We start from the raw sequence: 24,530 nt of genomic DNA, 5'->3' as shown, positions 1-24,530 counted from the left end.
GGGGACTGTACCCTGCAAAGCCACAGGGTGGAGCTGCCCAAGACTGTGGGAGCCCACATCTTACATCAGTGTGACCTGGATGAGAGACACGGAGTCAAAGGAGATTATTTTAAAGCTTTAAGATTTAATGACTGCCCCACTGGACTTTGGGCTTCCATGGGGCCTGGAGCCCCTTTGTTTTGGCCAGTCTCTCCCATTTGCAATGGGAGCATTTATCCAATGCCTGTACCCCTATTGTATCTAGGAAGTAACTAACTTGTTTTTTATTATATAGGCTCATAGGTGGAAGGGACTTGACTTGTCTCAGATGAGACTTTGGACTTGGACTTTTGAATTAATGCTGGAATGAGTTAAGACTTTGGGGCACTGTTGGGAAAGCATGATTGAGATTTGGGAGGGGCCAGGGGCAGAATGATAAGGTTTGGCTGTGTCCCCCACCCAAATCTCATCTCCACTTGTAATCCCCATTATGCCCACATGTCAAGGGTGGGAGCTGGTGGGAGTTGACTGGTTCATGGGGGCAGTTTTCCACATGCTGTTCTTGTGATAGTGAGTGAGTTCTCACGAGATCTGATGGTTTTATAAGGGGCTTCGCCTTTTGTTCTCTCTTATCTTTCCTGCCTTCTTGTGAAGAAGGTGCTTGCTTCCCCTTTACCTTCTGCATAACTGTAAGTTTTCTGAGGCCTCCCCAGCCATGTGGAACTGTGAGTCAGTTAAACCTGCCTTTTTTTTTTTTTTTTTTTTTGAGATGAAGTCTCGTTCTGTCACCCGGGCTGGAGTGCAGTGGCGCGATCTCGGCTCACTGCAAGCTCCACATCCCAGGTTCATGCCATTCTCCTGCCTCAGCCTCCCGAGTAGCTGGGACTACAGGCACCTGCCACCACGCCCGGCTAATTTTTTGTATATTTAGTAGAGACGGGGTTTCACCGTGTTAGCCAGGATGGTCTCCATCTCCTGACCTTGTGATCTGCCCACCTCGGCCTCCCAAAGGGCTGGGATTACAGGTGTGAGTCGCCGCGCCTGGCCTAAACCTGCTTTTTTTTAAAATAAATTATGCAGTCTTGGGTATTTCTCTATAGCAGTGTGAAAACGGACTAATACACACCCTAACTACCTTCCTCGCCTTCCCACTCCACAGGGGTCTCTCTCCCGGCTCCGGGGGTGCCCTGTGCATCCTGAGAAGGCAGCTCCCCCGGCCCCTTCAGGGTCCGACCTTGGGCATCCTGCTGGGAGACTGGGAGGCAGGGGGAAACTCTGGGTCGTATTCATTTCTCATTCTAGACTTCAAAATGGCTTCTAGCGAGTCGGCTATTCAACAAATGTTGAAACACCAAATGGTTTTCTTTTCTTTTCTATTTTAGCAGGTTTCTTTTTGGTGGCAGGCTAAGTAGGTTTTGTAACTGTACCAGTTAAGGGCAGTAGATTTTACAAGTCAGTAGACTCAGACCCGCTCACCTGAGCCTGTGTGTGTTGAGTGATCTTCTCACACAGTTCTTCATCTGCACATGTGTGCGGGGACCATGCTGAGAGCTCTGTGCCCTGTTTTCCAGGCTTTGAACTTGGCCTACTCCAGCATTTACGGCAGCTACCGGAACTTCGTGGGACCTCCACACTTTCAAGTCATCTGCCGGCTTCTCGGCTACCAGGGTATCGCCGTGGTCATGGAGGAGCTGCTGAAGGTCGTCAAGAGCCTGGTGAGTGTTCCCTGGACATGCTTCTTTCACACAGCCTGGATTCCCTGGGGCACCCATGCCAGAGGGTCTTCTCTGCCTGGACTGTGATTCTCCAACAGCTGGATTCGTTCAATTAGGCTTCAAACATTTCTGACCATATATAGTTTGATACTTCCCTCATCTTTTCAAACTCAAGAGAATGGGTCCAGGTTATTTTAACTGATACGCAGAGTTTTTATTTGTATGTGTAGAGAGGGGGTCTTGCTATGTTGCTCAGGCTGTCCTTGAACTCCTGGGCTCCAGAGATCTGCCCATCTTGGCCTCCCAAAGTGCTGGGGTTACAGGCGTGAGCCACCTTGGCCAGCCTGGATTTAGTTTTCTAGACATAACTTACTTTTTATAATTTTTCATCCTTTTTATTATTTTAATCTTCTGTGACTTGAGACCATGTAAGAGTTTGGTCACTTGGCACAGCCATCAGCCCGTGACCCAAACAGGTCCTTCCAGGACCCGCTGGGGACTCTGTCCCAAAACATGTGGCAGCTTGGAGGGTGTTAGGATTGCTGACCTCACCACAGCTGAGCCTGGGGCCGCACCCAGGAGCACAGACAGCGTCCTGGGGGACCCTGGAGCTGGCAGTGCTCACGATGCTGGGGTGCATCCCCATAGGAGACACCTGGCGACAAAGCTCTCCCCTCATTGTGGCACCCCGGGACCACTTTCATCTTGAAAGAGGAGTCCAGTTTCAGAACATGAATTCAGTCATGGGAAGCCACCTGGTGATGGTTGCTCTCTCTCCCGGGGTGGATTTTATTCCCCAGCCAGACGATCCTGCAGCCTTGCTGGTTACCGAGCTCTTTGCTAACAGACTTGTTTCAGGGTATGCGCCGGCCACAGGCGTTAGCAGAGCGGAGTGGGGTGGCTGACGCAGCCCGTCTCATCTCCCCGGCAGCTGCAAGGCACAATCCTGCAGTACGTGAAGACGCTGATGGAGGTGATGCCCAAGATCTGCCGCCTGCCCCGGCACGAGTACGGCTCTCCTGGTGAGTGCGGGCGTGTGGAGCTCACAGTGCTGTCTGTGGAGAGGTCAGAAAGGAATTCAAGTCAGAAATTCTTGAGAAGGATTAGATTTGCCATGTGGGAAGAGGCAGTAGACAGACAAATGCACCTTACAACCAGGAAGAGGTGTGTTGGGGTCACTGTCTGCAGGCGAGGAAGCAGAGGTCAGCCTGCAAGAGTTGAGACAAGAGACCCCTGAACACCACGCTCTCGGGCACCCCTACGAAAGAATTGCCACCCAATGAGGCGAGAGAGCCGACTGCTGGGTCCTGCTGCCCTGCTGGGCCTATAGGGACTTGAGGCTCAGAGACAGGCCCACCGAGATGGTGCAAGGCCTGCCCCTGCCCCCAGGCCGTCCCATCCATCTGCAGGTCCAGCTGCAGGGCCCTCAGGCAGGTGTGCTCTTAGGGACAGGCCCACGTGACTTGCTGTGGGTTGGTTTGGGGCAATGCAAATAAATAGCTTTAGTGATCTCAGAAAGCATTGTCTCATAAAATTGTATGACAGGGACCTTTGTCACGTAACAAAACTGCTTTTAGTCTCTTACCTGGCCGAGTTTTCTTGAAAGCTGGACAGTTGAACACTAGCCTTGTGTTGTAAAGCGACTTGAGCCTGCACGTGGGTGACCGACGAGGCACTGTCCTGATGGGCAGTCAGTCAGCGTGGCTGAGCTCTTGAACACGTGGCTCAGGACTTTTTGCTTTTTGGCAACTCCCCAGGGCTGTTGCTGGTGTTTGAGGAGACGATAAGGTGTCCCCCTCAGCCACCATGGGGAAGTAGCCATCAGCACGGCCCTGGCTCAAGAGAATCTGTTTTCAGTTTATTGTCAGAAAGTAGAGGAGGAATGCTGGGATGATTAAAACCAATGCTTATGTCGTGACTAGAGATGGAAATTTCAGATGTTGAGGAGGGAGCCATTTCCCAGTGTGGTACAGGGAAAGCTTGCTGGGAATGACACAGGTGCATGAGCGTCCCCGCCCCCACCCCCGCCAAGTGGGGCTGAGTCCCTGCAGCGGTGCTGAGAGCTGGGAGGAGCAGAGGGGCCGTGTCGGGCCGCTGGTCCTTGGGGAAGGGGCACTCGGGCAAGACCTGCTGGGACAAGGGTTTAAGGTCTGCTGAGCCTCCCGCTTTGCTCTTCCCAGGGTAGTTTAGGCCCCTCCTGATGCCACGTTCATTGTGCGGTCAGCTGCCGGTTTCTGTCTGGGCTGGAGTTGAAGCTGTAGATTGGCTGGGAAACGTTGGCCTTCTGTCCCATATTTGCACCTTGCGTCTTTTTGTGCCTTATTCCGCTGTCCGGGATGCCGTTGAGACGCCTGCCTTGCTCTGGAGCTGGCCTGGTGTGCGGCCTCCCGTTGGGCGTGCTGTTAGTTAGCTGCAGGCTTCCTAGATGCCCTTTCTCAGATTAGGTGCGGCCCCTTCCATGCCTGCGAAGAGAGATTGCATTTTGTCAAATACCTTGTCTGCCCCCACTGGGGATGTGGTGCAGTCTTTGTTCTTGTCATGTGGTGACGTTTCCTATCATCATAGCCTTCCCTAAAGATATGAGGTTGAGTTGAAAAGAGGCTTCAGAGCCAAGGCCCGGGGTCACATGGTGTGTGGAGAACGTGCCCAGGTGGCGAATAAACCACCGCTGCAGGGAAGATGCTGGGGATGGGACGTTGTGGCTGTCCTTATAGCCAGGCTTGATGGCGGTGTCAGAACGGCAGGTGCTCCTGGCTGTGGACCCAGGCTGCTAGGGCCCGGCCCCCTCCAGTCCCCCAACCCCACCTCACTCCCGCCACCGTAGGTATCCTGGAGTTCTTCCACCACCAGCTGAAGGACATCGTGGAGTACGCAGAGCTGAAGACGGTGTGCTTCCAGAACCTGCGGGAGGTGGGGAACGCCATCCTCTTCTGCCTGCTCATCGAGCAGAGCCTGGTGAGTGGCCCCCCAACGCCGCCCCTCCCCGCCCCAGCCCACCCCACCCCACCCCACCGGCCAGGGGAGGGCTTTCTTTGGCGGGTTCTTTAGTGGGGGTGTGGCAACAGCTGTGCATCATTTTTTTTTTTTTGTGGCTGTTGAGACTTTAGTTTGAATTTGTTCCCTTCAATTGAAAAACAAAAATGTACTGTAGTTCACTGTCTCAAGAATGTTTTTCTGTGTTAACGTCATAAAACTGTTATATTATGTGATGTTTTCAACATCTAAATGAACATATTTGGTGTGCCTGTAAGGTATAAGGCATTGCTGCGCAGGAGGGCCCTCTGTATGCCTGAGGCCGCTGAGCAGTTGAAGTGTGGCTCAGTGTGACTGAGGAACTGAGTGCTAAATGTTACTGAATTATCACTGATTTAAATCTGAATGGCTGCACGTGCCCCATGGTGGACAGCACGAGTGGCCAGCATGAAAGGGGAGCCCCCGGGAGCCCACCCCCTCTTAGGACGTGGCACAGTGGACGCCTCGTGTTTTCGACTGGCCGCCTTTTTGTGGTGCTGTCTGGCTGTCCCTCTGTCCTGTACATCACAGCAGCTCAGTTTATAACCTCCTGGGCTGGGAAAGCCAGTGGGAAATGGAATCTCAGGTAGCCCTCTCCTGCCTTCCATCGTGACTAACGAGGTGGGCATCTCTTCGTTCGTTGCGTCTTCTTGTTTCTTTTCCTGTGAAATGCCCCATTGAGTTCTTCGGCCTATTTTCTTTTTCTTTTTTTTTTTTTTTGAGACGGAGTCTTGCTCTGTCACCCCGGCTGGAGTGCAGTGGCGTGATGTTGGCTCACTGCAAGCTCCGCCTCCCGGGTTCACGCCATTCTCCTGCCTCCGCCTCAGAAGTAGCTGGGACTACAGGCGCCCACCACCACGCCCAGCTAATTTTTTGTATTTTTAGTAGAGACGGGGTTTCACCGTGTTAGCCAGGCTGGTCTCCAACTCCTGACTTTGTGATCCACCCGCCTTGGTCTCCCAAAGTGCTGGGATTACAGGCGTGAGCCACTGCGCCCGGCCTCTTTTGCCTATTTTTCTACAGCTCATTCTGTGTAGACTCTTTATGTGCTGCACATATCGTAAATTCTTCTCCCATTTGTGGCTTACCTTTTCACTCTGATAGTGGTGATTTTTGATAAAATGCTCTTAATTTGGATGTAGCCTTTTTTTTTTTAATGATTAGCACTTTTTTTTTTTTTTAATCTACCATCTGCACATGGAACTTTCAGTATCTTTTTGAAGATGTTTTCCCTGCCTTGGGGTCATGAAGACATTCCTTTACATTGTCATCTAAAGATTTGAAGCTTTGCCTTCTGCATGGAAGTTTGTAATCCTTCTGGAGTTGGTCTTTGTGTATAATGTGAGAGGCAGAGGAAGCTTCTTTCTCTCTGTGGAGACCCATTTGTCCCTCCTCTAGTGGCTGAAGGGCTCCTCCTCCCGTTGCTGACCAGTGGTGTCCCCTGCCATCTGCCAGCTTTTCATGGGCACACCGGCCTGTCTCCTGGCTTTCTGCCACATCTCGCTGGTCCAGGCATCTGTCTCTGACATCATAGCACATTGTCTTGCTCATCGTTGCTCTAACATGACTCTCGAGTCCCCACTTGCCGCGTTCCCTGCCTTGCTCCTTCTTCTTCAGCATGTTCCCTCCCCAGGGCTCTCTGCTCTGCCCTGTTTGGGGATTGGTTCACCACATACCCTGGCGAAGCGTATTGGCTTGTGCATGGGAATGGCACTTCGTCTCCAGAGCTGCCTGGGGAGGCCTTTCCTATGTTGTTTCCCAAAGCAGTCTCTTGTCTTTAGGTCTCTGGTAGCTTTGCAAAGGCAGAGTTGTGTTTGGGAAGAACAGGGAGAGGGTGGTCTGTACACAGCTCAGGGCATTGCTGTCAGACTGCCAGGCCTCTGGGGACTGAGCCTCTGGACCAGCCGCCTCACACCAGCCTGTGCGGTGAAAGAGAATGTGTTGGCTCACATGTCAGGGGAGTCCGAGGTCAGGCGTGACACGCCTGGGAGCTGACAGCCTCCATCAGACCTGCATCTTCGGCTCCCTCTATGCCTGCACGCCTAGGCAGACCCTCTCCTGGTGGTTTCAAAGAGGGACTGCAGCAGCCCCAGGCCTTCATTGTCCTGGCCACCCACAGGCTCGGTGGGGACCCCAAGTAGCATCTCCTCCCATGCTCCCCTCACCACTGTGAGTGTGAGGGGTACAAGATGGAGAACCCACCAGTGTCTCAGACCAGCAAGAAGCCAGTGTCCAGGGTGGCCCTGCTCTAAGGACATGTTCCCCAAATAATTGTGAATTGTTAAAAACCAGATGTTAGGAAGCATCTCTTTAAGTATAATCTCTCATTATGAATTTTAAATATTTAATACAGGAATATTCCTTTCATGGGTGACTTTTCCTGAACTTACAGCATAAGGCGCGCCCTATCTCATCTGCTATCTTAGTCCATTTTGTGTTGCTGTGGCAGTGCCTGAGACTGAGTAATTTATAAAGAAAAGGAGTTTATTTGGCTCATGACTCTGGAGGCTGGGAAGTCCAAGATCAGGCAGCCCATCTGTCAGGGTCTCATGCTGCTTCAGCTCTGGGGGAACAGAGAAGGGGAAGCGGGTGTTGCCAAGAGAACAAACATGAGAGGCAGCCTTGCTTACAACAACCTGCTCTCGCAGGAGCTTATCCATTCCCACAAAAACTAACCCAATTGTGGGAGAACTGACCCAGCCCTGTAAGAAATCCATCACCTCTCGGACCACCTTCCAACACTGCTACATTGGCAATTAAATTTCACCATGAGTTTTGGCAGGGACAAACCACATCCAAACCATAGCCTCTGTGTATGTCCAAGCCTGAGGATGCCTGTCTGGTCATTGGCCTCAGGTCAGGGAGGTGAGACCCGAGCTTTCTTAATGGGGAGACAGCCTTGTGGAATTGATAGAGATAGTGTCAGAGACCCCTTAGGGCTGGTTTCTCTTCTGTCCAGCTGCCCTTTTTGGAAATAAGATAAAGTGTCAAAAGCTTTTCTTTACATCATTTCTTTTTTTTTTTAGACTGGAGTTTCACGCTTGTTGCCCAGGCTGGAGTGCAGTGGCACAATCTTGACTCACCACAACTTCTACCTCCTGGGTTCAAGTGATTCTCCTGCCTCAGTCTCCCGAGTAGCTGGGATTACAGGCATGTGCCACCACACCCGGCTAATTTTGTGTTTTTAGTAGAGATGGGGTTTCTCCATGTTGGTCAGGCTGGTCTTGAACTCCCGACCTCCCGCCTCGCCCTCCCAAAGTGCTGGGATTACAGGCGTGAGCCACTGCACCTGGCCTGACATTCTTCACATAAACAAACTCTTGTGGTTCTATAATTATTTATGTCCATCCCAGGACTCATGGACATAAATAATTATAGAACCACAAGAGTTTGAAGCAGGCAGAATGGAATTTACTAGGATAATCTCTTAGCTTAAAGGCACGGTTTCTGTGCATTGTCATGGCAACAGTTGGCCCTCTGTTGGCTTCTGGATGGAGTGTGATGCTGCATTAGAAACAGGGAAAGAGAAGCGGAGCAGATGGTGTCTGGCCGGCGTCTGGCACTGGATTGACGTTGATGAGTACGGAAAAGTCTGCCTTTCTTCCTCTTGGTCTTAGTTTTGCCATCATCTCTGGGAGGTCCTCAGAAGTTAAAATCTCATTGTCGGTATTTCTTGATTTTCTGATAGCTGTTTCTTTGTTTAATCATTTCTTTTACTCCTATGGGACTTTAAGATTTCAGCATGGCTGTGGGGTCGGAGGCACTGAAGGCTCCATCACCTTCTGCCTGCTCCGTGGGGGTGGTGAGCGCACTGTGGTCTGAAGAGGCCCTTCCTGGTGGCCTAAGAGCCCTCACCTCTAAAGATGAACAGCAGTTGCTCAATTTTTGACCATCTTTGGGTTCTTGGTGGATTTGGGGTGTTCTGCTGTCCTCATGATCCTGGAGGTACATTTTCTTTATATATATATATGTTATTCTGGAGAACGGACCTTGTGTGGTTTTTATTACCTCTGTAAAGGAGCTTGTGACCCAAGAGCAGTTCGGCATGATGGCCTAGAACTTTGTTTTGGGCTCTGTAGGGAATGAGTGGATGTGGACACCAGGGTAGGCCACCCCTACTCCTTCCATCTCCTGTGTTGTTTGCAGGAGACGCCCCTTCCTTCTGTCAGTGTGGTGGGATCTTGTCATAAACTGTGGTTCTTAAGAGCCTGGTGGCAAATTAGCAGGGAAGGATGGGGCGAGAGCTTTTAGACAGGTAAATCCTGGAAAACAGAGCACACATTCAACACTGGGTCTTACCTGTGTCTATATTTACATTAATTAAATGTAACTAAAAATAAAATTCAGTTCCTCAAGTGCCAAGCCACATTCCAAGTACTTACTAGGCATGCATGGCTGGCGGCTGCCGGAATGGACAGGACAGACGGAAGCATTTCCATCATCCCAGAAATCTCTTGACAGAGATAAAATAAACTTACAGAGTTTATTTTATGCTAAAAGGCAAAGAAGTTCTTGGTTTTCAGCACCAGATTGCTCTCTGGCGAGATACCCTTCCTAGCTTGACCCTCTCTTTCTCTGCTCTAGTCTTTAGAAGAAGTGTGTGACCTGCTGCACGCGGCTCCTTTCCAGAACATCTTGCCGCGAGTCCATGTGAAAGGTGAGCCTGCTGACCCCCACCAGGGAGTCCAGACTGCCCTCTGTGGGGGTGGTGCCCACTGTATGCAACCGGAGAGCTAAGGACCAGTGCAGATTGTGGGTTTGGCGCCTGTTCAGTCATACCCAGGGGTAATGAGGAGTGTACAGAACCTAGTTAAATGAAGATTGAGAAATAGAGCTGCAATGATATGATGTCTTAGAATTGCTTCCAAATATCAATAGCATGGGAGCAGGGGGAGTTGGGTATATAAGAAGCAGAGTGGCCATGAGTTGATAATTATAGCAGATGATGGGTACAGGCTCATTGTGCCATTTTCTGCTTTCGATTACATTTGGAATATTCAATAAATGAAAAGTGAATATTGAGCAGAAAATTGGTTCTGCCGGTTTGAATTAAAATATTAAATGAGCCAGTTCTGTAAAATAATTTTCAAAGAGAATCTGTATCCATAATGTTAACTTAAAAATCTTTTGTTTTTTAAACAAATGTAAACCTTTGCAATTACCGTTTCATACAAAGGAGCAGAATATAGTAAAATATTTTTTCTACTGCAGAGGGGGAGAGACTTGATGCCAAAATGAAAAGACTAGAATCAAAGTACGCCCCGCTGCATCTTGTCCCACTGATTGAAAGACTGGGGACCCCTCAGGTAACGTGTACCGTGATGGCTGTGGCTGTTGCAAGCTGGGCATCCATGCCAGGCCAGGTGGCCTGGTTGGGAGCCAGACTGGAAGGCATCGTGAAGTCCAGCGGCTGCGTGGCTGCTCAGGCCTCAAGTGTTGCAAGTGGGGTGTGCACCAGGACTGCTTCCCTGGGTGGTGGGAGGATTCAGATGAGCTAACACCTGGAAAGAGCTTAGCACATCACCTGGCACGTAAGGCTTACACAGAAGACATCACTTTCACTGTCCAGCCCTTCATGAAGAAGGCTTTCCCATAGGTGTTTAAGAACAGAAGAAATTAGGCCAGGAGGCAAGGTGTCAGGGTAGAGTTCTACAGTGATCCAGCTGCTTATGCTAAGTCAGGGTTTCTCAGCCATTTTGGACCAGATAACTCTATGGTGGGGGCTGGGGCGCCCTGTGCATCGTAGGATGGTTAGCAGCATCCCTGGCCTCCACACTAGCTGCCAGTAGACCCGCTCCACCCAAAACATTTTTCCAGGGCCGGGCACCGGGGTTCATTCCTGTCATCCCAGCACTTTGGGAGGCCAAGACAGGAGTTTGAGACCAGCCTGGGCAACATGGCGAAACCCCATCTCTACAAAAAATACAAAAATTATCCGGGTGTGGTGGCATGCACCTGGTCGCTTGAGCCTGGGAAGTCAAGGCTGCAGCGAGCTGTGATTGTGCCACTGCACTCCAGCCTAGGCAGCAGAGCAAGACCCTGTCTCAAGAGAAAAGAGACATAGAGGATGTGGAGTAGCTGGATGCCTGGAGGCCCACGGCATTCCACGGCTTGTCCTTTCTGCAGCAAATTGCCATCGCAAGAGAGGGGGACCTGCTGACAAAGGAGCGCCTCTGCTGCGGCCTGTCCATGTTTGAGGTCATCCTGACACGGATCCGGAGCTTTCTGGATGACCCCATCTGGCGCGGGCCTCTGCCCAGCAATGGGGTCATGCATGTGGACGAGTGTGTGGAGTTTCACAGACTGTGGAGTGCCATGCAGTTTGTCTACTGCATTCCCGTGGGGACACACGAGTTCACAGTCGAGTAAGTGTGTGCTGAGAGCAGGACAAAGCCCCAGAGGAGGGGAGGAGCTGTGGGGGAGGGGAGGCGTGTTAGGCTAACAAGCAGCCAGCCATGCTCAGGAAGTGGACCAGAAACTCACTGAGCGGCTTTTAAGCCTCCTGTAGTGGGGATTCTTACTTGATGCCAAAGAGCTGACTCAGGACTCTAGTATTCAGGGAGTCTCTGAACCCACGGCAATTGTATGCACGTTGGGCGTGCATTTTTCTAGGTGGGAGGTCCATAGAGTCATTCATCACAGAGGGGATATGATCTAAAAAGGGACAGGAAGCAGCACACCAGAAGAGCCCAAAAAAGTTATTTATCAAAACCAGGGAACAGCCACCTGGCTGCCCGGCATTCTCTTCCTGGCTGTGGAAGGTGACTGTGTAGGCACAGACAGTAATGCAGATGGCTTGGTCACTGACATCTGGAGACAGACTGAGAAAAGACTTCATAACGTATCACTCATCTCCCATTCTGTTTCTGCTTCTTGTTCCTAGGCAGTGCTTTGGTGATGGGCTACACTGGGCTGGCTGTATGATCATCGTACTTCTTGGGCAGCAGCGGCGTTTTGCTGTGCTGGATTTCTGCTACCATCTACTTAAAGTCCAGAAACATGATGGCAAAGATGAGATTATTAAAAATGTGGTATGTGGATGAAAATCTCGCACCATCTATGGACCTTTTGCAAAAGCATACTTTCTTTGTGTTATAAGTTCTTGTTTCTGGCAATGTTTTTCATCCTAGTACGTAAGGTGCCACCAACAGAAACTTTCTTTTCGTTCCCAAAATGAATCTAAATATAATTGGCCAGTAAAGCAGTCTGGCAGAGAAAATACTCATTGTTCCGTTTTCCTTCTCAAGGTACTTAGATTTACTTCCAGTCTTACAGGATCTGCATTGTCAGAATATTGGCAACTATAGTCTTCGGGCCCCTGGAAGTCTGTGCTTTCTTGGCTGCTTTAAAGGCCTTTTGTCTTTGTTGCTTTATGGATCCCTCATAGTTGAATTCTGGAAAATACTCAGCCATTATCTTTGAAATATTTCAGCCTCCTTTCCATTCTCCCTATTCTTGCCATTCAGGACTTCAGTTAAACATATGTTAGACCTTCTCATTCTATTCTCCACATCTCTTTGTTGTATCAGTTTTCTTTTTTCTTTCTTTTTTTTTTTTTTTTTGAGACAGTTTCGCTCTTGTTGCTCAGGCTGGGGTGCAATGCCACGATCTTGGCTCACTGCAATCTCTGCTGCCCAGGTTCAAGTGATTCTCCTGCCTCAGCCTCCCGAGTAGCTGGGATTATAGGCACCTGCCACCACGCCCGGCTGATTTTTGTATTTTGTAATTTTGTATTTTTAGTAGAGACTAGGTTTCACCATGTTGGCCAGGCTGATCTTGAACTCCTGACATAAGGTGATCCGCCCACCTCCCAAAGTGCTAGGATTACAGGCGCGCCCAGCCCTGTTGTATTAGTTTTCTATTGCTTCCATGACAACAAATCACCACAGGCTTGGCAGTTTAAATACCACTGATTATCTCACAATTCTCTAAGTCAGATGCCTGAGTTCAGCCAGGCCCAGCTGGGTCCTCTGCTCAGTCTCATGGGGCCAGTGTCTGAGGTGCTGGGTTCACCCTGGAGGCCTTCAAGCTTATGCACAGTTGGCTCAATTATTCCTTGCAGCTGTAGGACTGGGTCCCCCTTCCTTCTCATGCTTTCCAAGTGGCCCCCTCCAGCAATGGTGGGTTGGGCAGTCTCAGCCTCTAGTCTTCTGCCATGTCTCTCCTGCCTCCGGCCAGAGAACATTCCCTGACTGTGACTATATTGAGCCCACTGGACAACCCCAGATACTCTCCCTGTTCTACAGTCCAGTCTTAGCCACACCTGCCCAGGCCCCGTGGAGTGGAGGCAATGCAGTCACAGGCTCCAGGTCATGGGCCTCTCTCAGGGGCCCTTCTGCCTCCCACTCCTCCATTTCCGGGGCTCCCAGAGCTGTGTCCAGATACTGTATTCATGTGTCTTAGTTAACTTGTTTACTTCAGCTCTAATCTGCTGAGCTTTTACTCTGAAAATATTATTAGTTCACTTTTTAAAGTTCAATTAGGTTCTTCAAATCTTCTTGGTAACTGACAGTTTTATTGTCTTAACTGAACTTTTTCCATCTCTTATTTCTTTATCCAATTCATGTATTCTATATTCTGTGTGTTTTCCTTCTAGTATCTGAAGGCCTTGGAGGTATTTAAAACTTTGCTGTTTCCTTGTGTGTTGGGTTATTTGGGAGTCTTTATTTAACTGGAGTTAATTTAGATTGCTTTCCCCCAAGATGTGCATTTGTATCTGCCCATCTCTATGGGGTGCTACCAACTCAGGGCCGCTTTAGCCGAATTGGAGGTCCTGGCTTCACTGGGGAGTCTTCGGTGTGGTCCCGCTTGCTTACGCCCGGGCTGCTCCTCACCCCACCGCCGCTGTTGGCATCTGCCCCTGAGGAGGCCCTGGCTTCCCCCTTACCACCTGCATAGGTAGAACCAGCTTTTCAAAGCGTTTTGTTTGCGTGTATGTTCTTAATTCGTGTTCTTTATTCCTGTGGTAGCAGGAGGGTCTGTCAGAGTATCCCGTCACAGTATTTCCAAACTGGAAGTCTAAAACTTGTGTTAGTTGACTGGCCTTTCTCCACTGACCACATCATCTTCATCTGGAGATCCCCAGCTTTGAGCAGACAGTAGGTTCTTAATTGCCAATGTGGAAGGAATAGGCCTATCAATTGTGCGCATGAATGAATCTACAGCAGCATGAAGCCAACAGAGGGATTCTAAATTCAAAATATATTCATCCTTCCAACTGTTGCATTAAAGAGATGGTATGTGGCTGGGAGTGCTGGCTCATACCTGTAATCCCAACAGTTTGGGAGGCTGAGGCAGAGGAGGATTGCTTGAGCTCAGGAGTTCAAGACCATCCTGGACAGCATAATAAGACCTTGTCTTTACAAAATTAAATTTAAAAATTAGCTGCGTGTGGTGGTACACGCCTGTGGTCCCAGCTACTCAGGAGGCTGAGGTGGGAGGATGTCTTGAGGCTACAGTGAGCCGTGATCATGCCACTGCACTCCAGCCTGGGCGTCAGAGTGAGACCCTATCTTACAAAAAAAAACCCAAAAAGAACAGTATGTGTGTCAATTCCGTTTGCTATTATTTTTCTGAGAAAATATAAGAATCCTGACATTTTGAAACATGAAGAATAAATGTTGAAGTGTTAATAGTAAAACATCCTCACTTTGATGGTTGTAGCCTTTGAAGAAGATGGTGGAGAGAATTCGCAAGTTCCAGATTCTCAATGATGAGATCATCACCATCCTGGATAAGTACCTGAAGTCAGGCGACGGGGAGGGCACGCCAGTGGAGCATGTGCGCTGCTTCCAGCCGCCCATCCACCAGTCCCTCGCCAGCAGCTGAGGGCACGCGCTGCACTCCGTAACTCAACATGGCATGCCTTTCTCTCCGTAAACTATTTAGTGAGATTTTTAGGGACTATTTTTCAGTATCTCTGTACCTGTTAAAGGGGGTGCTTTTCGATCTAAAAACTTAATTTTATAAAATTGACTTATTTTTCTAGACTAAAATTGTATATGCTTTTGGTAATTAGGAACTCTTGAGAATATTGGCTGCTGATTGTTGCCATCACGTTCCTACAAAATTGTTTTTCTATGGGATGTTCTGGCAGCTGTGTCATAAAATGCTGCTGGGTTCATTCATTCATTCCATAAGAAACTTAATACCAGCAAATGCATTAAATCCCTTGCCAGTTACCATTAACTGTAACTATTTAGCTTTTGTTTAGGGATCTTTCTGATGGTCTTTTATGAGCAATCTTAGTTCTAAGTCATTGTTCCCATCCCTTTTTTGTGTGTTTCAGAAAATAGTGAACTTGATTCCCCTGCTTCCACTAAATCCAGTTGTGACAAAATCTAACGTGACATCAGATCGAAAGGTTATAGAAATAAAACTAATGAGATCTATTTGTGTTCATTTATTTACTCTAACCCTGTGCTGCCTGGCTTGGCAAGGAACTCTAACCTGAACTCACATACCAGGCCAGCTGGGATGGAGGTCACCTCTAAGGCTGAGGTGGGATGGGACCGTGACACCATCCCATATACCGCTCACCTCAGCACAGGTTTAGCTTTATATTTAGGGTTCCGCAGGCAAATGAGGTGTAAAACGGCCGTGTTGGCTGCTCCAATCTGGATATGAAGAGGCTACTCAGTGCCTCTCTGTTACCTGTGCCCATGACCTGGAGGAAGCCAGCAATGTGGGAGGAGATCAGTCAGGCCCAGTGGGTGCTGCACAAAGGGACCGGGAGCACCGAGTCCAGCCTTCAGCTGTCCCCGATCCACAGGGCTCACATGGCTGGAGCTGGTTCACATGATCTGTCAGAATGAAAAACAATCGGTCTAGACTACCAGTAGAGTCACGAACATGTTTGAGAAACTAAAGCCATATTTTAAAAAGTACTAAGGCAATGAGGTTCTGAAAATCCTAACTAACTGAATGGAAAAAGATGCTATGCCTGTTTATTGTAGATGAATACTACAGATAAACACAAGTCCAGCATGATTAACTGAACTCACTTTATATTGTAGCCTGGCAGTCATTTTACATTATTTGGAGTATTGCAACCTTCACCAATTTTAAAATTTTCTATGGATGCCAAGTTGCCATAAAAAGCAGGCCTCGCCTACTTTTCCGGAGGCCTTTGGAAACTGTCCAGAAGCATATGATGCACGGCACAGAAAAGTAGTAAGTGTACGAACCATCCTGTTACACTGCCAAACTCACTCAAGTGACATGAAGCCTAACAAACAATTATTCTTTCTTTATAAAAAGTTCCCTAAAAATGCTTTTGGTAATGTGAATTAATAACCCTGGGGCCAGCATTCTGCTGCAGATTTAGAGGTGGTAGCTGTGCTTATCTTAGAAACTACAGAATAGGATGAAAAATTATGGTAAAACTTAATCAATTACCAAGTTTTATAAGGCTTAATTATATACCAAATATGTAATACCTTAGGTATAAGACAATCTCAAGTGCTACAAAATGTTAAATAAGAATTTATTATTTATTAACCTATGCATGTTCAAATGAGTCTCTGTCCTCAAGGGGGAGAAAACTGGTTCTTTTATGTACAAAGCACAGATGTAGGTACAGTATATAAACAGATACGTAGTACATCTGTAGTATTAAAATGGCATGGGAGGAGGCAGTTAGAAAAAACATCTAAAACAGCTCCTTAGAAGGCCAATAATAAAGTTGGAAAAAAGGGAGTTTCCACGCAGCCAGTGGTGAGCTGCATGGGATACCAGCACCATTGGCAGGGGAGGCCCTCGGGGAGTGATGGCTTGGCGCTGGCGCACCACTGGGTAACCTCCAGGCAGGAGCCACAGGCTGGAACAGGCGAACACTTTCTTCCCATCACCTAGGTGGAAATTAATTCTGCCAATACTTTTTTTTAAAGGCCAGTCAATGGTTATGAGTGGATAGGTTCAAAGCTGAATGGAGTTCATTAGACCTTTTTTATTATTCTACCTTTTCTGCATATGTTTGCAGTTTTCCATCGACTTCTTCATAAACAAACATTTTCTAGAAACCAAAATATGTAGTGGCCCAAAGGAGCTCTTAAGCAAAGTACTTGGTACAAAGAGACCATATTCTATAAACATGTTAAGTTTGTTCTAAGCATTCAGACTTTTAGAATAAGAACTTCATTTCAACTTTTTATTATAACATGAGCTAAATTTAAGAAACAACCCTAGTCTTCTATTTCCCAGAGCTGTTCAAAGTCTAAATGACAATATAACTCATTATGAAAATATACTGAAAAGTACAAGAGCTGATGTAAAACGGTAATCAAGGTTCCAGGCATCATGGGATTAGGGTAACTGAAGAATAAACCCAGCCAGGCTGCAACAGCAGGCAGGATGTGCTGGCTTGATGAGGTGCTAAGGCCATCGAATGCTCAGAGGAAGCCGGATTCACGGTGATCATCTCAACCTGAGAAATCGTTCCTTGGGGTGATTTCTGCCCTTTTTTTTGTTTTGTAAGAAAGAGGTTCCTTCATTCAGTAACTTAGTTTTCCCTTAATAAATATTTCAAAAATAAAACCAATCATCATCAAACAAACAGGAGCCACTTTTGTAGGTAAGGTAAATCACAGGATAATGTATTGGGATAACTCTGTTTTTTTAAAATAAAAAAGCCTTACATGGTCAGGGATTGATGGAGTGGGGATGACAAATGCACATTTCAGACTTTCATCACCAATGAAAAAATAAAGCATTTTCATAGACTTAAAACTGTCATTAGTGCATTCGGCTTTTGGAGAAGGGATGAAAATGTAAAATACTTCTACAACAATAAAATGTTAATAGAAATCGTCATGTGCTGAGGTCATTTTAGTGAGCTACCATTGTTTGTTTAAATACAAGAAAAGTAATTTCTTGGTCCAAATTAGTGAAATCTTTAAAAAGATTGCCTTTAAAGAACATTATTTGAGGACAATGTTTTTTCAGACACATTCTGATGATATTCAAATTCACTTCATAACAATCACAGATTAACCTTTAATTACACCTTTCTTAAAAAGCTGTCAGATTTCCATTTCTTCGGGAGACATTTTCACCAGTGTGTTGTTCGATTCCACAGGTTAAGCTTTCTTCATTATTATTAAGAACTTCATACATATTAGAGAGATTGCCATTCATTGCTTTCTCGTCTTTTCGAAAAGACACAGGCAGACTTGCTAGACTAAAGCTGACGTCTTTAAAGGCATGCAACAAGAATATCCCCACAATGATTGTAAAGAAGCCACTCAAAGTACCAATGACATCGTCAACAGGCATATCTTGCCACTCCTTAAAAAGAATAGCTGAACAAGTTAAAACTGATGTTGTAAAGAATACATAATATATTGGAGTCACAATGGAAGTGTTGAATATATCCAGGGCCCTATTTAGGTAATTAATCTGTGTGCTCACACAGACGATGAGGCTCAGCAGCAGAATCCAAGCCAGGGGATGCCGCAGCACAGGCTTCCCTGCAAACAGCTCCTTGATAGCAATGCCCAGGCCCTTCACACAGGAGACTGAAAACGCGCCGATTACAGAGCAGATTGTTATGTACACAAGAATGTTTGTCTGTCCATGGCGAGGACCCACCACGAAGATTAATATCAAGGCCACAATGACCACAAGGGTTGCAAAGACCACAAAACCTGGAGGAGGCAAAGAAAAGTTACATGAGTCAAATGGTTGGTTGTTCTTAAACACAGAATGCAAAACAAAATATAATAAACTTGATAGGGAGAAAAGGTATGGCCTGGAAATAAAAATCAGCTTTATTTTGCAGCCCAAGCAGAAATGCAACCACAAAAATTTACTTAGATGGACACACTGGAAGATTAATGCGAGCTTCATATTCACAAATTGTTATACCCCTAACATTTTTGCAGCAGCACTTTATGCCGACTTAAGTGCTCTAGCTCACCAGGCAAGAGGGACAGTGGGAACAGAACAGACACAGAAACTAGGGAGGAGAAACCATGAGGTGGCCTTGAATGTTCAACAATTTATAGATGCTAAAAAAAACAAAAAACACAAAAACAAGAGTTCTTCATCAAGTTTTCCCTAAAAGGGGAAACTTTTAAAATTTGTGGACAACTGCTGGAGTAACGAGCAAGTCAACTGGAGAACTTGAAAGATACTACTGGGGTTCTGGTTGAATACGGAGAATTAAATCCAGCATGATAATAGCCAACAACTGTGTAGCACTGTGGGCCAGGCATTTTTCTCAGCAATTCGCACTCAACTACCCTGTTATCACGGATACTACCACCTGCATTTTCGGATGAGGAAACTGAGGCCCAGATAAGTCACATGAATTTACTCTTCCTTCCTCAAATTCCACTAATAAAATACACAGTAATAGGATTTTTTTTTTTTGAGACAGAGTCTTGCTCTGTCGCCCAGGCTGGAGTGCAGTGGTGCGATCTCGGCTCACTGCAAGCTCCGCCTCCCGGGTTCACGCCATTCTCCTGCCTCAGCCTCCTGAGTAGCTGGGACTACAGGTGCCCGCCAACACGCCCAGCTAATTTTTTGTATTCTTAGTAGAGACGGGGTTTCACCATGTTAGTCAGGATGGTCTCCATCTCCTGACCTCGTGATCCACCCGCTCTGGCCTCCCAAAGTGCTGGGATTACAGGCGTGAGCCACCGCACCCAGCAGTAATAGATTATTAAAGACACAAATACACAAAATTAAGAACAAGAAGCCAGGTGTGGTGGCTCACGCCTGTAATCCCAGCACTGGGAGGCCGAGGATGGCAGATCACCTGAGGTCAGGAGTTCGAGACCAGCCTAGCCAACATGGTGAAACCTCATCTCTTCTAAAAATACAAAAATTAGCCAGGCGTGGTGGCAGACACCTGTAATGCCAGCTACTTGGGAGGCTGAAACAGGAGAATCGCTTGAATCTGGGAGGTGGAGGTTGCAATGAGCTGAGATCATGCCACTGCACTCCAGCCTGGGCAATAGAGTGAGACTGTCTCAAGAAAAAAGAGAGGACCGAAGATAACAATCCTTCGTAAGTCAGAAAGCAAAGGCTAACTAATAACTGGTACAGAGATCCAAGAAAGCGGAATCCTACACATCCGCTGTGATAAAAGATGAAAAAGCAATTTAGTTTGTGGCACAGAATGCTCAAAAGATACAAAGTGCCTCTGAAGTGGAGTAAAGGCAAGATTGAAAGTGAGGCCTGGCTGAAAAGTCCATTCAAGAAACAAGGAGACTCCTGCCCAGTTCTGGGAGACTGTCCCTCCCGTGCCACAGAGTTCCAGGAAGCTGAGGTCAACCATGCCTCCAGGCATTAATCCTTCCCCCCAGTCAATTCCCAGGATGCCCACAGCCAGCCATGAAACTGGAAGCTTTTTTTGCTGGGGATCTGACCAGCCCAACTTTTACATAACAGAGGACAGCAGGCCGGGCGTGGTGGCTCACGCCTGTAATCCCAGCACTTTGGGCGGCCGAGGTGGGCGGATCATGAGGTCAGAAGATCGAGACCATCCTGGCTAACATGGTGAAACCCCGTCTCTACTAAAAATACAAAAAATTAGCCAGGCCTGGTGGTGGGTGCCTGTAGTCCCAGCTACTCGGGAGGCTGAGGCAGGAGAATGGCGTGAACCCGGGAGGGGAGCTTGCAGTGAGCCAAGATCACGCCACTGCACTCCAGCCTGGGCAACAGAGCAAGACTCTGTCTCAAAAAAATAAAAAGAAAGATAGCCAAAGACCACCAGGAGAGAAGCCAAAACAAACAGAAAAGTGCAAAGCCTCTTTCTCCCATGTAGACAGAGGAAAACTTCAAAATAAACAACTGTCCCTCAAAAAACAAAAAAATTACTAATATCCTCAGAAAAGCAAGAAAAACTATTATTAATATCCTCAGAGACACAATGAAACAGACTGACCTGGCACCCCAAATACCTACAAACGATGGATCTACAACAACAAAAAACCCCAAACAAATAAAAAAGAAACATTTATTTGAGGGCATCAAAGAGCCATCAAAGTAGCCAGGACTTAAAGGGCCAAAATCCAGAGAAAAGAGAAGAATCAGCCCAACACTCACCTCTGCCTTCTCCCTTGGGGCAACTACTAATGCAAGGGGTGAGATGGCATAAAGGCCAATCAACACCGGCCTAAGCTTAAGGGGACTAGGTAAAAACAAGTTGGAATTTGGGGCTGCCTAAGCAGCTGGAACTGAATGGAACAAGACCCAGAAAGGAGGGAACTATAGAGTAGTGAGCCCAAATTTCTGTGTGCATTTCCCCTTACGGTGTTTCTTGGCACACAAGCTGCACAGCCAAGGTCAGAGGAGCCAAATGGAAAGCCCGGCCAGGAGGCCACAGGACTAAGCAGGGATTTTAGTGTCTCAAGTTACTGAGGAGCAGATCCTGGAGCTCTCAGTTTCTCAGGTGGAGGGGCCCAAACCAACATCTGAAGCTATCAGTTGAGAGCCAAAGGGCTATGAATAAGAATAAAGGCAAACTGAGCCAGGTGTGGTGGCTCATGCCTGTAATCCCAGCCCTTTGGGAGGCCGAGGGAGGTGGATCACTTGAGCCCAGTAGGTTGAGACCAGCCCAGCCAACATGACAAAACCCTGTCTCTACCAAAAAAAGATACAAAAATTAGGCCAGGCACAGTGGCGCATGCCTGTCATCGCAACTACTTGGGAGGCTAAAGCAGGAGAATCACTTGAACCCAGGAGGCAGAGGGAGCAATGAGCCGAGACTGCACCACTGTGCTCCAGCCTGGGTGACGGCGAGACTCCATCTCAAAAAAAAAAAAACAAAGAAAATACAAAAATTAGCCAGATGTGGTGGCACACACCTGTAGTCCCAGCTACACAGGAGGCTGAGGTGGGAGGATCGCTTGAGCCCGAGAGGCAGAGGATGCAGTGAGCCATGATCACACCACTGCACTCCAGCCTGGGCAACAGAGTGAGATACTGTCTCCAAAAAAAAAAAAAAAAAAAAGAATAAAGGCAAACTGAAAGAAACTAGGCCCAACAAAGCTTAAAACAATACCTTCAGGGTGAAGGTGAGCTACTGTATTCTTTTCTGCCTACCAGAAGAAATTTACATTCTCTCTGAAGGAAGAAAAAACATCACTTAAAACCTCTACACCTTCTAATATCCTACATCCAGCATTCAATTAAAAAATGCCTAAAAGCCAAAAGAGAAACACCACCACAGGAGGCCCACAAAGAATTCTAAAACTAAAGTTAGCAGACAAAGACTTTAAAATAACTAGGAATCAAAGAACAGAGGCAAGAAACTCTTAGAAATTAACAATATAACCGCAGAAATAAAAACTCAGAAGGGCTGGAAGAAAAAACAGAAAATCTCCCCAAAGGCAGAGCAAAAAGACAAAATGGTAAAATGAGGGAAAGAAAAGATAAGAAAATTAATGATCTAGGTCAGGAACTGCAATAAACAGATGAATAAGAATCTCACAAAGAGCAAACAAGAATATCAAAGGAGTATTCAATTCAGTTCCCAAGAGTCAGACATAAATTTTCAGATCAGGCCAGGCACAGTAGCTCACACCTGTAATCCCAGCACTTTGGGAGGCCGAGGCAGGTGGATCACCTGAGGTCAGGAATTCGAGACCAGCCTGGCCAACCTGGTGAAACCCTGTCTCTACTAAAAATACAAAAATTAGCTGGGCGTGGTGGTGGGCGCCTGTAATCCCAGCTACTTGGGAGGCTGAGGCAGGAGAATAACTTGAACCCAAGAGGCGGAGGATGCAGTGAGCCGAGATCACGCCATTGCACTCCAGCCTGAGCAAGAAGAACAAAACTCTGTCTCAAAAAAAAAAAAAAAGAGAGACCCATCAGGCGAGGCATGGTGGCTCACACCTGTAATCCCAACACTTTGGGAGGCAAGGTGGGTGGATCACTTGTGATCAGGAGTTCGACACCAACCTGGCCAACATGGTAAAACCTTGTTTCTACCAAACAAACAAAAAAAATTAGCCAGGCATGGTGGCACACGCCTGCAGTCCCAGCTACTTGGAAGGCTGAGATGGGAGAATCGCTTGGGCTGGGGAGGAGGAGGTTGCAGTGAGCTGAGATCACATCACTGCATTCCAGCCTGGGCAACACGGCCCTGTCTCAAAATAAAATGAACCATCAGGCACCCAGCACAATGGACAAAAATGGACCCATCTCTAGGCATGTCAGTGGGAAATTTCAGACACTGTGGGGAAAGAGAACATCCTACATGCTTCCAAAAACAAAAAATTGGTCGCATATAAAAGATAAGGGATAAACTGTTCAATTTCTCAACAGCAACATCAGAAATGAGAAGACGGTGGTCACAATAGGTTAAAAACATTTTGAGATAAACAAGGTCTCAAAAAATCTCATCTCTTCATGCCCTTTCTTGTCTCCTCTAGAGTGACACCACCAAAATGAAGGCACAAACCCAGGATTCTGGAAATAAGGGATCCAAGAAAAAGCAAACTGAAGGGAATCCCCAGGATGCTGCTGAAGAGAAATGCAGATAACAGCTGTGCTGGCAGCCTGGAGACACCCGCCTAGATTGAGGCCACACAGAAGGCACTGAGAGAAATTTCCAAAAGAGATGAAACAAAGAATACCTCTTTGTTTGAAATTACTGAGAGTAGAATTAGTCAACTGGGGAAGAGTTTCATGATACATTGATCGATTCATAAAAAACTACACAAACAAGATAATTATTACTTCTGGAAAAACAAATTATACAGGGAAGGAACAACAACCATAATAAAGACTAAGATGACAATAAAAGTTATGTATCAATGATAATGTAAACAATCTCAAGAAAACTATATAGGTACAGTAAATAAAAGGTAAAACAGATAATGCCTAAAGCTAAGGAAGTAAGTAGTAGCAATATACGCACACTACTTACAAACACAGAGTTAAAGAACAGTAGAAACACAGGCTTGGGATTGATAGGAGGGAGCAGGGAACATGACGACAATTTGTTCTTCTACCAGGTGGAACAATTTCTTTCCTTATGTGCTCATCAAATTTCGATTAAAGTAAAAACTAAGTTAAAAAGTAAAATACAGTAAGACTAATAAGACTTTTTTCTTACCTGGATCACCTAGCTTGTGAGACATTTCATTTAAAGTCTCAATCTCCTCTTCCTTTGGAGCATGAATGACCATAACTGTAGATCCTAGAATACTTAGCAAACACCCAATTTTCCCATGAAGATTAAGTCTTTCATTGAGAAAGTATGAAGAAAGAATGGCACTAAAATGGGGAGGAAAAAAAATTGAGAACTTTAATCAGCTACTTTCCTTTTTCAAATATCAATAAAACTCGTAATTTAAATCACTGAAATCAAACTAAAACACTGTGAACTTATGAAGATTCTGGCTTTCGCCAAGGAAAAAAAGTATACATTTCATCATAAAATGTAAACATTTCTAGGGAATCATCTGCTTCATCATACACTACACCTGTATACTTACCATCTTTCCACTGCAAGAAGTCAGTATGAAATTTATAATAAAGAACAAATTTGTATACATTTATATCCTAATTAAGAACCTATATCCAGGCCAGGCAGAGTGCCTCACGCCTGTAATCCCAGCACTTTGGGAGGCCAAGGTGCGCGGGTCACCTCAGGTCAGGAGTTCAAGCCCAGCCTGGCCAACATGGTGAAACCCCATCTCTACTAAAAATACAAAAATCAGTCAGGCATGGTGGCGGGCATCCTGTAATCCCAGCTACTCGGGAGGCTGGGGCAGGACCTAGAAGGCAGAGGTTGCAGCGAGCTGACATCGCGCCACTGCACTCCAGCCTGGGTGACACAGTGAAACTCCATCTCCAAAGGAAAAAAAAAAA

At 46.8% G+C, this 24,530-nt stretch overlaps 2 protein-coding genes across 61 annotated transcripts in view, besides 3 other annotated features; one reads left to right on the top strand and one right to left on the bottom strand.

Annotated features, from left to right (window-relative positions):
• Positions 1-17,510, top strand: part of CYFIP1 (cytoplasmic FMR1 interacting protein 1) — a 113,847-nt gene extending 96,337 nt beyond the window's left edge. For all 10 annotated transcript variants that reach the window (NM_001324119.2, NM_001324120.2, NM_001324125.3 and 7 more), the window contains 8 exons: positions 1,551-1,694; positions 2,626-2,716; positions 4,519-4,649; positions 9,291-9,363; positions 9,918-10,012; positions 10,833-11,071; positions 11,590-11,737; positions 14,370-17,510. In NM_001324119.2, the coding sequence (NP_001311048.1) occupies positions 1,551-1,694; positions 2,626-2,716; positions 4,519-4,649; positions 9,291-9,363; positions 9,918-10,012; positions 10,833-11,071; positions 11,590-11,737; positions 14,370-14,534 (1,086 nt within the window). In that variant the 3' untranslated portion in view covers positions 14,535-17,510. The remainder of the gene's footprint in view (positions 1-1,550; positions 1,695-2,625; positions 2,717-4,518; positions 4,650-9,290; positions 9,364-9,917; positions 10,013-10,832; positions 11,072-11,589; positions 11,738-14,369) is intronic.
• Positions 1,696-2,895: an enhancer, noted in NCBI's record as "CDK7 strongly-dependent group 2 enhancer chr15:22990202-22991401 (GRCh37/hg19 assembly coordinates)". NCBI's record gives its function as "activates an origin of replication core promoter dependent on BRD2, BRD4, P300/CBP, MED14 and CDK7 cofactors, with strong dependence on CDK7, by STARR-seq in HCT116 cells {active_cell/tissue: HCT116}" and the evidence as "EXISTENCE:reporter gene assay evidence [ECO:0000049][PMID:35650434]".
• Positions 10,643-11,318: an enhancer, noted in NCBI's record as "H3K27ac-H3K4me1 hESC enhancer chr15:22999149-22999824 (GRCh37/hg19 assembly coordinates)". NCBI's record gives its function as "activates a minimal SCP1, AML or CMV promoter by ChIP-STARR-seq in primed H9 embryonic stem cells {active_cell/tissue: H9 hESC(primed)}" and the evidence as "EXISTENCE:reporter gene assay evidence [ECO:0000049][PMID:30033119]".
• Positions 11,023-11,317: an enhancer, noted in NCBI's record as "tiled region #8478; K562 Activating non-DNase unmatched - State 17:Gen3', and HepG2 Activating non-DNase unmatched - State 15:Elon". NCBI's record gives its function as "activates a minimal TATA promoter and a strong SV40 promoter by Sharpr-MPRA in K562 cells, with weaker activation in HepG2 cells {active_cell/tissue: HepG2 | K562}" and the evidence as "EXISTENCE:reporter gene assay evidence [ECO:0000049][PMID:27701403]".
• Positions 16,178-24,530, bottom strand: part of NIPA2 (NIPA magnesium transporter 2) — a 29,719-nt gene continuing 21,366 nt past the window's right edge. For all 51 annotated transcript variants that reach the window (XM_017022651.3, XM_017022645.2, XM_047433150.1 and 48 more), the window contains 2 exons: positions 23,773-23,933; positions 16,178-18,349 (listed from right to left, as the gene is read on the bottom strand). In XM_017022651.3, coding sequence (XP_016878140.1) covers positions 17,715-18,349; positions 23,773-23,933 — 796 coding nt within the window. In that variant the 3' untranslated portion in view covers positions 16,178-17,714. The remainder of the gene's footprint in view (positions 18,350-23,772; positions 23,934-24,530) is intronic.

The sequence above is a fragment of the Homo sapiens genome, chromosome 15 (genome assembly GCF_000001405.40).
Source record: "Homo sapiens chromosome 15, GRCh38.p14 Primary Assembly".
Classification (NCBI taxonomy): domain Eukaryota; kingdom Metazoa; phylum Chordata; class Mammalia; order Primates; family Hominidae; genus Homo; species Homo sapiens.
The sequence above is the reverse complement of the archived record's forward strand: the minus strand, read 5'-3'. Positions and strand labels throughout refer to the sequence as shown.